Source organism: Homo sapiens, chromosome 8, assembly GCF_000001405.40.
Source record: "Homo sapiens chromosome 8, GRCh38.p14 Primary Assembly".
Taxonomy (NCBI): Eukaryota; Metazoa; Chordata; class Mammalia; order Primates; family Hominidae; genus Homo; species Homo sapiens.
Window position 1 is genome coordinate 132,773,022 of NC_000008.11, and position 12,439 is coordinate 132,785,460.

Genomic DNA, 12,439 nt, shown 5'->3' on the forward strand with positions numbered 1-12,439 from the left:
ACCTTCCAAAAATACTTATATGTGAAATGCAGTTCTAGGCAGGGACAATTATAAACAGGTTTTTCACCTACATGAATGTCTGGAAGGACATCTAGAAGTCATGCATGACCTGGGGCAATTCTTCAAGGTATGGAACTGCACTGTGCATTTCAGGATATCTAGCAGCCCTGGTCCCTTCCCACTAAATAGTAGCAGTGCCCTACCCCAATCCTGAGACAATAAAATACCATCCTCCATTTCCAAAGTGCCCTCTAGGGGACGGTATTAACTCCACAGAGGATTACTAAGCCTATACAATTCACTGAAGCTAGGGATCATTTACATAAGACCTTATTTTATTTTTTTCTTTCAAGTGTCATTATTGGAAGACCCATTGTCAAGTTCCAATTAAAATGGAACAATCATCTTTCCAGGGTGGATTCTCAACAAATAGTTGGGAGAATGGACAGAATCTGTTGTTCTTTATGTATGTATTTTATTTAAATTGCAAATAACCTCAAGTTTTTAGTGGTGTATAATAATAGATATTTATTTTTTCTCAGTCACTAGCTTGTGATTCAGCAGGGGTTCTGCCAGAGTTCAGAAAGATTTAACTCCAGGCTGACCATCAGAAACTTGAATACTGGTACTGCCACAGATGTGGGAGAAAAGTTTCCTTATTTTGAACATCATTAGCAACTTCTGATACAAAGTCCTTGGTAAAAGAGTTTTACTTGAGGCTAGAACTTTAGCTGCAAGGGAGACTGGAAACATGAGTTTCTGATATTTTCATCTTATTTAGTGGGAGGTTGATTCTGCATCCAAGATTCATAAGGTGGATGTATCATTTAGTTTGGGTAGGATTATGCCATGTAACAAACAATCCAGCACCCAAATCTCCATAGTTAAAATAATAAATATTTATTTTTTTCCTTATACAACACAGTAGTTGTAGATTATCAGTGAGGCCTTGGTTCATCATAATCTGTCTAGAACCTGGATGGTAGAGCAGCTATCATCTCAAGCAGTGCTTTACACTGTGCCAGAGACAGAAACTTTGGTGAGCTGGCATTAAAAATTACCAACTGGCCATGACAAATCTCACTTCTAATTACATTTTATCAGCCAAAGCAAATCAAATAGCCATACATAATTCTAAGGAGGGTGGAAAGTATAATCCTGTCATGTCCTAAGGAAGATGCTACAAGTATTTGGTGTTCTGAACTAATGCAACCATGATGAGAAATTTCTCAAACATGGAAAGAGAGTTGAGATGCTGGGCAACCAAAAAACAAGATAACAAATATCCACTAGAGACTGTCTTATTTATATCTTTTCTATAACAAATATCCACTAGAGACTGTCTTATTTATATCTTTTCTATGTATCACCATGCTCAGTCTAGCTCAGTAGCTATTAGTGACTTAGTAGATGCTGAATGAATGTTTGTTGAATAAAAAAAGAATGATTGTTTAATTTACCAAATCTTACTATAACTGAAGCTTAAAGAGAGTTACTTTGCTATTTTAACTCCACACTATGAAGCAAGATAAATATAAGTGACATTTGTATGCAACGTTGCACTTGAAAACCAGAGTGGTACAGTGGAAACCAAGAGAAAAAAGATGTTTCATTTCAATATTATTTTCAATGTGTTCACTTATTGGTTTCTCCCCACAGCAAGGATACTGTCTCCTGTGCTTAGTAAAGTTTGGGAGGGTAGGTATTCGATAAAAGCAGTTCTGCTATCATTAGCTGTGTAGTCTTGGGGAAGTGATATCAATGTAGCCATAGGTTAAGGTTATTCAGCTGTGCCTGAGCACGCGCGTACACACATCTTAGTAATATTCGTCTTTGTATTGTAAAGATCTCCAAGACTGGAAAGCAATACAATTGTAATACAGTTGTACAGTTGTGATTGTCATGTGACATATTTACAGCCTAGTGTCTATCACAAAGCATCCATTCAAGGGAGGTTTATTGATTTTGTAGTAGTAACCATGCTCTATTCTTGATGTGGAGTGGGATGGATATCTAAGAAAGCATGTAATGCATTTGAAAAAGTTTGCCAAGGGTCCTGGGTAAAGGGGTTTTGGTGACGTGGTTCCCAACGAATCAAGAATAATAAACAATGCCCTTCGTCCTCAAATCTCAAAGGTCAAATACTTCACAACTACCAATAGGCACCAAGAGCTCGCGTTCTTTCCTCCAGTAACCAGAGCCCCGCCCGCTAGCGGTCCGTCAACGACCGCAAAGCCCCGCCTCCTACGGCGGCCCGCCAATCGGCTGCGCGGCCCGGGCCCAACCCTCGTGAGTCACGTGACAAGGCCAGGCCCGCTTCCGGCACGTCGCGGGCGGCTGACGTCGCCGGGGCCCGGCGTCGCGTCAGGGCTGGCCGGCGGCGGAGGCGGCGGCGGCGGCGGCGATGGCAGCGGACCCTGAGCGAGCTTGAGGGCTCGGACCCAGCTCCCTCCCGCGAAACCTTGGGCGGATCCGGCGCTGCGGCCCCAGCTCGCTCCGCTCCTGCTCCCTCCCCGGCCGCTGCCTGGGCGGAGGCAGAGGCAGAGGCCCGGGCTGGCCGCCCTGCTCGTGCCCCAGCTCGGCCCCGGACGGCCCGGCTGCTGTGCAGAGAGGAGGCCGAGTCGGTAAGAGGCGGCGGCGGCTGAGCCGGCAGGCCGCCTGGCCCCCGCCGGGCCGCCCGGGACGCCCCCATTCTGGTGTCTCTCTTTCCGGCCCGCTCCCCTCCCGCCTCCCTCCCCGTAACTCGCCGGCCCTATTGTCTGGGCGCCGCAGCTCCCTCTTCCCCTCCCTTCCTTACCCCCCTGCGGAGGGCCGGATGGCTGTCAAACCTGGAGGCTTCTCCAGCTCCCTGCCAGCCCTGTCAGCCTTTCCTGCCTGTCTCGTGCCACCCCCTCTCTGTCTGGCCTCACCTCCTCACCTTTTTTGGCCTGGCGGTCATTCTCTGACCATTGCTTTACATTGTCGGTCTCTATGTCTTCTTGCTCATTTCTTCTTCCCTCTAACTTGTCATCTCCGAAAACTTCCACTGTCCTATTTCTTGCCATTCTTTGCTCCTTTCCTTACTGTTTTTACTCCTCTCCGTGCTTTCTGCCTTGTTTTTGCTTCAAGTTTTACTCCCAGTAGACTGTCTTACTTTATGAAAGTTCCTTAATTCAAATCCCTCTTCATCCTTCCCTCTTCGAACCTAAGACAAAGGAAAATCTTGTTTTTTTTCTGGTACTTCATCCCTAAGTGTCACTGGGGGATTATACTCATTCAATCCATCACTTAATTATGGGCTCTAAGTTTGATTCTAGATGTTAGTGTACCTTGTGAACTATCCCTTACTGAATTCTTCCTGTGACAGACAGCAGAAAAGGTTGATTCGATTTCTACACAAACATTTAAGTAACTGCCTTACGTGTTGCGCACTGACAAGACCTCTATTAAAAATATTCATACATTTGTTCTTTTGCACCAGCTACACCCTGGGCAAGCTCCCTGTTAACTTTTTAATGCTCTAATATTTGCTTATACCATAGCAGGAGGATACCCACTCTCCCCCTCCAACCATGGGTATTTGAGTTCGCATATTTTCATGGCCAGTATTGATGCTATTTTTTCCCTTACCTATCAGACTCTTTCAAAGAGAAAAGAGGGAGCAGTTGGAATTTTATGTTTGTTGTTCTATTTTGTCTATTATGAATTGTGACAAAACCATTATAAAAGATGACAAGTGTGTGTGTTTCTTTTTTTCTTTTTAAACTGTAGGGAACATAGTCATTAGTGATCTCAAATACCGAAAGACATTTTACGGATCTCTCCTCGCCCCTGATAACAATCAATTTACATTCTTAATTATGAGTTATGTTTTGATTAGGTTATCTCAAAATGTATTCATATTCCTCACATACCCATTAGTGAAAAAGAGGCCACCTCAAGTGTGCTCGGTGGCCACTGTGGCCCAAAATATAGTACTTTGCATGTGAATGACCTAGGGATACATAGGTACTCCTTTGCAGTTTTTGTTCTAGCATTACAACCACTTTTATTATCAATGTGGACACTGTCTAAATTGAAATATAGTAGAAATACTCAGTTAACAAAAGCATGTTATTATTGCTTGTTGAATGTAAAGTATAAGAAAGCAGTCTCTTTTGTAATACTGTATGTTAAATTAAAATTATTGAATTATGTGCTACCAAGGTGGGAGATCATGGGTAATGAAAAATCCTAATCCCAAGAGGAATTAGTGGTATCTTCACTGGCAGAGGAGTGTGCCTACTGTTTCCTCCATCTTTGTGTGCTGTAGGGCCTTATCTAGTGTTTTGTATTATGAGGCACTCAACAAATATTTGTTGAAATTAAAAATTGATTTTGTTCTCAAGAATTTCAGTAGTCCTATTCCAGAACACTCAGCTGTCTTAATTTTTCAAAGGCAGGAAAGCATTTTCAGCTCTCCCCGTGGAGAATTTTCTTGGGTATCTGGAAGCTCAAATGTAAAGCATTTTTAGCTATTAACAATTTTTAACAGTCCATTTACTCATTCTTTTTAGATAGTTTTCTTTGTTCTTTTTCTTAAATCATTATCAAGATTGCCTGCAGATTGCACAGAACTTTATATAGAGATGTTGGTAATACTCCTTCAAATTTCTTAACAATTTGGCAAGTATTTCATATTCTCATGTATTGTTTTAGAAATTCTGTTTAATTTTAATTTGACCTGTTCCCTTATACTCTACTTCCTATGCATTTTCTGCATTGGAATCTAACTTTTTTCTTTCTCTTGAGGTAGTGAAAAGAGAATACTGAAGAATAGGATCTCAAGATGAGTAAAAAGCCCCCAAATCGCCCTGGAATCACTTTTGAGATTGGTGCTCGTTTGGAGGCACTGGACTACTTACAAAAATGGTATGGAAAATATAGAACTTTCACCTAAATATCACAATATCTGTAGCCTTACATATGTTAATTAAAACAGTAAATTCCACTGATGGTAGCAGAAACATCAGTGTATTCACATTTCGATTACACATATATGTTGTTTTTTAGTTTTCCTACTCTTTAGGCTTTTTAGGTTTAGCATTTAAAAACTATTTTTAGTCAACTGACTAAATTATTTAGAACAATCATTTTTGGTGTTTGAGAAATGAAAATAATTGTCTAGAGTATGCGGTTTATGTATACCTCATGTATACCTCACATGAGCTGTATTGGTGGAAGTAGAGAGAGGAGTAATCCAGAGAACCAACTTCTCATGTTTTGGATAAATTTTGATTTAAATTGGTATTTTTGGTCTGTCAGTGGTAGTCTTTCAAACTACAGAGTATATTAATGGTTAGCATAGCATTTTTTCATAGTGAACACTTTCAAAAACATCTCCACTATTCATTATCTCACCTAAAACCAAAATCACACTTAACCTCCTATTTTCCCTGGTGGGCCTTAACCTAAAGGCAGGTTGTTACTGTCTCCAGTGCAAAATAGGCTGTCCTTTCAGAACTTGTGTGTCTCCCCCTATTCTGGCCATTGTGGTAAGTGGTAAATTTAAACACCTCCCAACATAGCCTTTATACAGTGGTTAGGAAAAGTTGATGAATTGGTATAAAACTACTATCTGGAAAGGAGAGAAGGGGAAGCTACATGCAGGGGTCCCTGGGCCAGAGTAGGAATGAGGAGGATTCTCCTTTCTCCTAAGGAGCGTATTCCTCATTTGGGTTAACTGGCCCCTCATTCTGCTGTCTTGGCAGATGTCTTTTGTTGCCATTTGCAGGCTCCTAACCTGAGAGGGGCATTAGAGGGGTTCCGCTTCTGGGAGGGATGCTGCCTTTGCTCCTCCTGAAGCCCGTTTATTTTGATGCGAGTTCTTGTTTAGCAGCTCTTGGACTTTCCCAGACTTTTTGACATTTTCTCTGATTTAAAACCATACTGGGCATTTTGTAGATTTACTTTTGATTGATTTGTATTAAGTCAACTTCCCGAGTTGGCAATGGCAGGCAGAGAAATCTTGTTTAGTCATAATATTTGACTGTATAGACCAGGCTGGGGTTTCTCTCTTTTAACATCTGGCGTTAGAGCTTGGCACATATCTCTGACCCCAGCTTAATGACCTCTTGTTTTGAGCTCCACTTTAGGACAGTTTGAAGCTACAATTTGAGATGGGGAGGTTAATCGATACTGTCACTAGGTGAAGAATGTACATGGTAATTCTTAGGAGGGGTTTGGGAAGTACCTGGGAACTAGGCAGTAGCATCTCTCCTAGTGACGATCAAAATGTCTCCAGACATTGCCAAATGACAACTGGAATGAGGGTGGGTGGCGGTAAAAATGATTGAGAAACTCAGCATTAGACCATGCAACAGAAAATGCCAGTTGAGGCAGCACTTGTCTATCTTGGTTCTCATTTGACCAAGAGAAGCTTTTTACTCCAAAGGCATACTACTGAATGTCTGTGTGATACAAGGGTATAAGAAATAATACTTGTTACTTCTTTGATATTACTCTTAAGTGATTTATTTATTTTTTAAGTTACTGACTTTGTGACTTATTTAATTCATATTAATATATTAGGCTTCCCAACTGACGGTGTTGCAGTTGAGCTAGCTTCCAGTTTTGGAGAAACACATAGTTGATTAGTTCTGTCAGTAATTTTCAGGGATATTAATATAACTTTGATATTAGTGAGAAATTTTCTTTCAGTAGTAAAATGTTTTCTAACTTAGGAGCTGTTAAATTTATGATCCAGTAGTTCAAAAGACTACAAAAAAGAACTTTTAAAACCATGCTTGAATGTACTTTTAGAGTATTCTGTGTTTTTAGAATACTTGGAATTTCAGAGAACAAATGAAAGTTGTATCTTCTTGCCACAAAATTCATATGTGCTTATTTGAGCGGTGTCATGCAAATGTACTCACTGATGAAGTTTAGATTTAATTTTAATGACCCTGGTAATAATAGTTCTCTTTAATGGAAATAAGCATTAGCCAGGATAATCACATATTATCACTGAAACTTGTTATCAGTTTTATTTTTATAAGCTGATTTATATAAAGATTTTGGCACTCTGTTTCAGGTGGCTCCTTATTTAAAAAAGGATTAAGAATATTGTATATATGTATTCTAGGTAATTTACAAAAATAATTTTCTTATGGTAATTTTGCTTATTAATGTCAGTAGTTTCAAGAACTAGTTAGGCTTAGGTGCCCCTTAAATTTAGTATTAGGTGGTGTGCTCTTGGACCAACTATTTAATTACTAAGATGTATTGAATTTTATATGGGACACAAAAGTTCTGAGATTAGTGCTCTTAACATTTTATTTATAAATAGGATAATAAACTTAATTCTTCATATTATTCCATTTGTAAATGACCATTTTACATTTCATGGAAATTCTGTAAATTTTTGCATTAATATTAAGTAAAATTATAGAATTATTTGACAAGAAACTGACATTCTTGTGAGAAGCAAAATATTATAGTTAATCATTGAAAATATACAGAAATTTCTTTTCTCCCTCTTCTCCCACTCTTCTCTTTCCCTTCTTTCATATTCTATTTTTTGCATCCATATTGAATGCTTAGTCTTCCAAATTTATTCAATTCTCTTTGAAAAGTATTGAGTCATCTTTGAGATAAATGTAGTTTGAACTATTATGGGCATTGGATAGGGAGGAGCAGGAATGCAAATCTTGCTTACTGTCTCTATACTCAAAACATTTACAATAAGCAGTATATTACTGAGAAACTAACTTATCACATGTTGATAAATCACCTTTTGAAGAGAAGTGCAAAAGGAAAGTGGTGCTAGTGAAGAACCCAAAATGCCTATTAAAGGTTTTTCTTGCTTTTTTTTTTTTTTTTTTGAGACAGAGTCTTTTCTGTTTCTCAGGCTGGGAGTGCAGTGGCGTGATCTTGGCTCACTAAAACCTCTACCTCCTGGGCTCAAGCTATCCTGCCACCTCAGCCTCTTGAATAGCTGGAACTACAGGTGTGCACCACAAGTCTGGGCTAATTTAAAAAAAAATTTTTTTTGTAGAGATGAAGTGTCACTGTATTGCCCAGGCTGGTCTGGAATTCCTGGCCTCAAATGATCCTCCCACCTCAGCCTCCCAAAGTGTACTCCTGGCTGGTTTCTCATATATAAAAAAGGAAAATAGTTTCTGGTATGTGTCTAGACATAAAAGGATAAACTCTAAATTTAGTAGGTGGAAATAATCTGAAGTTAAGCTCTCACTTTTAGCTTTGGGGTAGATTTGATTTAACAGGAAGACTCAATCTGTGTTTCTCAGGAAAAGTATGTTATTATTGCTTGAATAAACCATATCGTATAATTCTTACAGATCAGAAAGATACCTTATCTTTGAAAATGCATTGTACCTTTTTAAGTAGTGATTTATTTATTTTTATTTTATCTTATTTTATTTATTTTTTTGAGACAGAGTCTTGCTCTTTCGCCAGTCTGGAATTCAGTGGCGCAATCTTGGCTCACTGCAACCTCCGCTCGCTGCAACCTCCGCCTCTCAGGTTCAAGTGATTCCCCTGCCTCAGCCTCCCGAGTAGCTGGGACTACAGGCGCACGCCACCATGCCCAGCTAATTTTTTTTTGTATTTTTAGTAGAGATGGGGTTTCGCCATGTTGTCTGGGATAGTCTCCATCTCTTGACCTTGTGATGTGCCTGCCTCAGTCCCCCACAGTGCTGGGATTACAGGCGTGAGCCACTGCGCCAGGCCTAAAGTAGTGATTTATTTTTATTTTCAAAGTAACTTTATAGCTACATAAGAACACTCATTGGTGGTTTATTTATCAGTACTAATGGACACAGGCCCTGAGAAGCCATCAAGAGGTCAGTCATCTTAGTCCCAGTATTTGCTTTTTGATAATTGGATCTCTCCTACACTGACCAAACATAACTCCTGAGTAGTGTGGGCTGTTTTAATTTTTAAAAATATTATAGCTTTACAATATTTTAAAAACATTTTCTTTTAACTTTTTCAATCATCTGCATAAAGACTTTGACGTGCTAATGTTTACAGCTAGCACAGTCAACTATTTTTTATCTTATTTTCATGTTTTTCACCACAAACTCTGTGCATCCAAACCTTGATATTCAGTTTTATAATCTCTGGAAGGTAGTAACATCATAAGAATAAAAATGAGTATAGGTGTGTTGATACAGAAGTATATTTGGGGAAGGAGAAAGTTGAGAGTTGAAGTTATATTGGAGACACTGTAAGCGGGTGGGTTTAAATTCAGACTGTTACTTATTAATCCTGTAAATATGGGTAAGTCCTTTAACTTGGTTTTCTTAGCAGTAAAATGGAAGCAGTATTACTGGCTTTTATTTAGAGGTTGGTTTTTAAGGTTCAAATAAAATTATGTATTGCTTTAAGTTCTACAGATGGGTACATAATCATAAAGCATTGAGGTAAATGCAAGGGGAGAGGGAGAATAGAAAAGTAAATCTTTGGGGATCTGAAGAGTTAAGTGATTGAGTTTTTAAAGGTAGCTTTAGTTGACAGGAGAGTGGCTTGGAATCATAGAAGGCAAAACATCTCATTGCAACAAGCTGATGACACTTTTTTCTTTTTCCTTTTTTTTTTGAGACAAAGTTTTACTGTCACCCAGGCTGCAGTGCAGTCACGAGATCATGACTTGAAGCAGCCTGCAGCCTTTACCTCCCGGGGCTCAAGCCATCCTCCTGCTTCAACCTCCCAAGTAGCTGGGACTACAGGCGTATGCCATAGTAACCTGCTGATTTTCTTTTTCTTTTTCTTTTTTTTTTTTTGGTAGAGAAAGCGATCTCTCTGTGTTGCCCAGGCTGGTCTTGAACTCATGGGCTCAAGCAGTTTTTCCATCTGTCTTGTTCTTCCAAAGTTGTAGACAGTCTTTTTGAAGTGATAATAAAATCCTCATGTTTCCACAGAGTTTTATAGAGTTTGCTTGCAAATATTAAAGTATCTAATCATTCTGAATATAGTTTAGTAAGAAAACTGATAAAATCACACTGGCGTTGACTACTGATTTAACTCCTGTTTTTTGATTGAAATTAAAATAGTTATTCTACAGTAAGCGATTGTTACAAAAACACAAGAGATTAAATAACATGCTGTGGTGTTAATCTTAAAATAAATTTGAAATATAGAGTCAATTTAAAACATTCAGATGAGATATGCTCCTCTGACTCTTTTGGAATATTTCTATTTAATTCTCTTCTAAATCTAAAGAAAAGGAAAATGAAAGATTAAAAAATGTGGAGATATCTCCAAGTATCAGAGTTTAATAGAACAGTATAAATTTGAATTGGCAAATGCTGTTTTCACACATTTGAAGTTTTTTGAACTGTATGGAACATTTGCAAATGTGAGTTTTTAAGATGTTCGTGCAGAATTTTAATAGTATAGGAGAATTAAGGAAATTTACATTGTAGCAAGTACAAATACTTGTTAATTTAAATAAAATTATACATTTTCTGAATAAAAAGTTACTTTTTTTCTAATTAGATTTAACTATTCAAAGGAAAATGCTACTAGAGATAAGTTGTGTCATCTATATTTAGAGTAGGAGAATGGTCCTAAAGTGTAACATGTAGATCAAATATAGCATTGTAGGAACACCAGGTGAATACTTCAAAAATAGAGGTTCTTTTGCTAATATTAATATGCATGCAGTTTTTGTCTTTTCATAATTTGGGATTCTTTCAGTTTGTCTATACATAGAAAGTAATGATTATTATTTTGAGTCATTACCTTTGAAAACCAATGCCAGCTGTAGACTTAGAAAAAATATACAGTTGTATGTATACATCAAAATAAATGAATTACATACTATGGTCATAAGTTCATAGAAAACGTATACATGACCTCTAGGTTAAGGACCCTTCTTGCAGACAATTCATTTGAAATCTGTAAGTTTTGTTTAAAAATTCTGAGATAATTTACATTTAGATAGTCACAAATTTTGAATCTTAAGGTCAAAGTGAATCATCCAGTTTAATTATCAAGCAGATTTGTACCAGTGCACAAACATTTTACTTCTTTAACTTTTAAAATTTCCACAAAAGAAAGCCCCGTAAATTCCTTTGAACAATGCTAAATATAAGAAAGCTTCCCTCTACCCCTCCAAAAATGTGAAAAGCATGATTTAGGGACAGAGAAGACTTATTTATTTGAAAACACACCTGGTTTCGGGTTGTTCTTGCTCTAGTGTTCTTCCTTTTTTTATGTTAATTCGTTTTTTATAGAACTCTTTCTGGTTTATAAGCTTTTTCTGCTTATCCTAGTTTTTTTGAAAAACAAAAGTATTGGAAAAAATAAATTAAACTGGAAGTCATAAAATATGGATTTTAAGTGCTATTTTGCCATGAACTATGTGATTTTGGAGAGGTATTTCTCTGCTTTAATGACCTTGAAATGAAAGTCTTACAGTTTAGATGATCTTTCAGGTGCAGTTGAATTCCAAACTCAATTTCATTTTATCAATTTTCACCTATTCAGGGATGACAGATTTTTTTTTTTAAATCATACTTTTAGATGGGTAAATAACACAAACTTGAGGCAGAGGTAAGATAGACAAAAAGTCATAGGTAGTTCAAAACTGCTGGCTACTAGAGGAGAAAATGAGAAAAATGTAGAAAACTGAATATAATTTGGAAAAAATATAGAGGTTTGAGCTATTTGGAATATAACTATATTGGGCATGAAACCTTTTGGCTCCCAATATAGTGATCTCTCCACTATAACCCATTGTCTTGCATAGATTTCCTAAAGCTTTGCGCCTCAGTTAACTAAATGGGCTCAGTGTTCACGGGCCACCGTAGTTTCTGACCAATTGTAGTTGTGAGTATATGTCTGGCATCTAGAAGGGCCCTGAAAGTCTGGCAAGCCTATGCCACTCTTTTTCATTGGAATTAGAGAGCTTGAGCAAGGTAGGTAAATTTCAAGTTTATCCATCCTAGAGAGCTTTCCTCCTAAATTTACTTCATAATCAAACCTCCAAGCTGATGATTTCTTAGCCTCCTTCATCAATTTATAATGAGGGTAAAGTCCAGGAATCTCAGGCTTACTGTGCTGTGCTTTATGTGTGTGTGATCGTATAGTGGCAAGGGTTGGAACAAGAGAAAAGACCGTTTTATTTGCTTATCTGACATTTGGTTGAAGTCCAGCCATCACGTATCACACACATCCAGCTCCCTATTTGTTACATCATTCCTGCCGAATGTTATTATGTATTATGAGATTTCACACTGTCACATCACATTAGATAATGGTTTATTTTTTAGTTGGGGGTTGATGAAAGCCACTAGCTGGGAAACAGTTTATCTGTTGTGGTAGTTAACTCTACTAAAAAGAATGTTTTGCAATTCTAGTTTTGCTGAGTAGACAGAAATGGCATCTGCAGATGCTTCTGTTTTTAATTTTGGTTTTAAGTGATTTCTTTTAAGCTGAGGGAGAAAATACTAGT

The 12,439-nt window shown here is 37.8% G+C and overlaps 2 protein-coding genes across 31 annotated transcripts in view, besides 3 other annotated features; one reads left to right on the forward strand and one right to left on the reverse strand.

Moving 5' to 3' along the window:
- Nucleotides 1-2,978, reverse strand: part of TMEM71 (transmembrane protein 71) — a 70,161-nt gene extending 67,183 nt beyond the window's left edge. The window contains exon 1 of the mRNA NM_001382397.1: nt 2,918-2,978. The gene's annotated coding sequence lies outside the window, so the exon portion shown is untranslated. The remainder of the gene's footprint in view (nt 1-2,917) is intronic.
- Nucleotides 2,096-2,597: an enhancer, noted in NCBI's record as "H3K27ac hESC enhancer chr8:133787363-133787864 (GRCh37/hg19 assembly coordinates)". NCBI's record gives its function as "activates a minimal SCP1, AML or CMV promoter by ChIP-STARR-seq in naive H9 embryonic stem cells {active_cell/tissue: H9 hESC(naive)}" and the evidence as "EXISTENCE:reporter gene assay evidence [ECO:0000049][PMID:30033119]".
- Nucleotides 2,096-2,801: a biological region, named in NCBI's record as "H3K27ac hESC enhancer GRCh37_chr8:133787363-133787864".
- Nucleotides 2,352-2,801: a silencer, noted in NCBI's record as "silent region_19558". NCBI's record gives its function as "represses an Ori minimal core promoter by ATAC-STARR-seq in GM12878 lymphoblastoid cells {active_cell/tissue: GM12878}" and the evidence as "EXISTENCE:reporter gene assay evidence [ECO:0000049][PMID:35858748]".
- The window catches only part of PHF20L1 (PHD finger protein 20 like 1), a 73,420-nt gene continuing 63,347 nt past the window's right edge, over nt 2,367-12,439 (forward strand). For 15 of the 30 annotated variants that reach the window (NR_156424.2, XM_011517076.1, NM_001438309.1 and 12 more), the window contains exons 1-2: nt 2,367-2,624; nt 4,775-4,890. Coding sequence is in view for 29 of the 30 variants with exons in the window: in XM_011517076.1 (XP_011515378.1) it covers nt 4,808-4,890 (83 nt within the window). In the remaining variant the exon portion in view is untranslated. Of the gene's footprint in view, nt 2,625-4,770; nt 4,891-12,439 lie in introns of all 30 variants that reach the window. The other 15 variants (XM_011517075.1, XM_011517077.1, XM_011517078.1 and 12 more) reach the window with 1 other exon arrangement.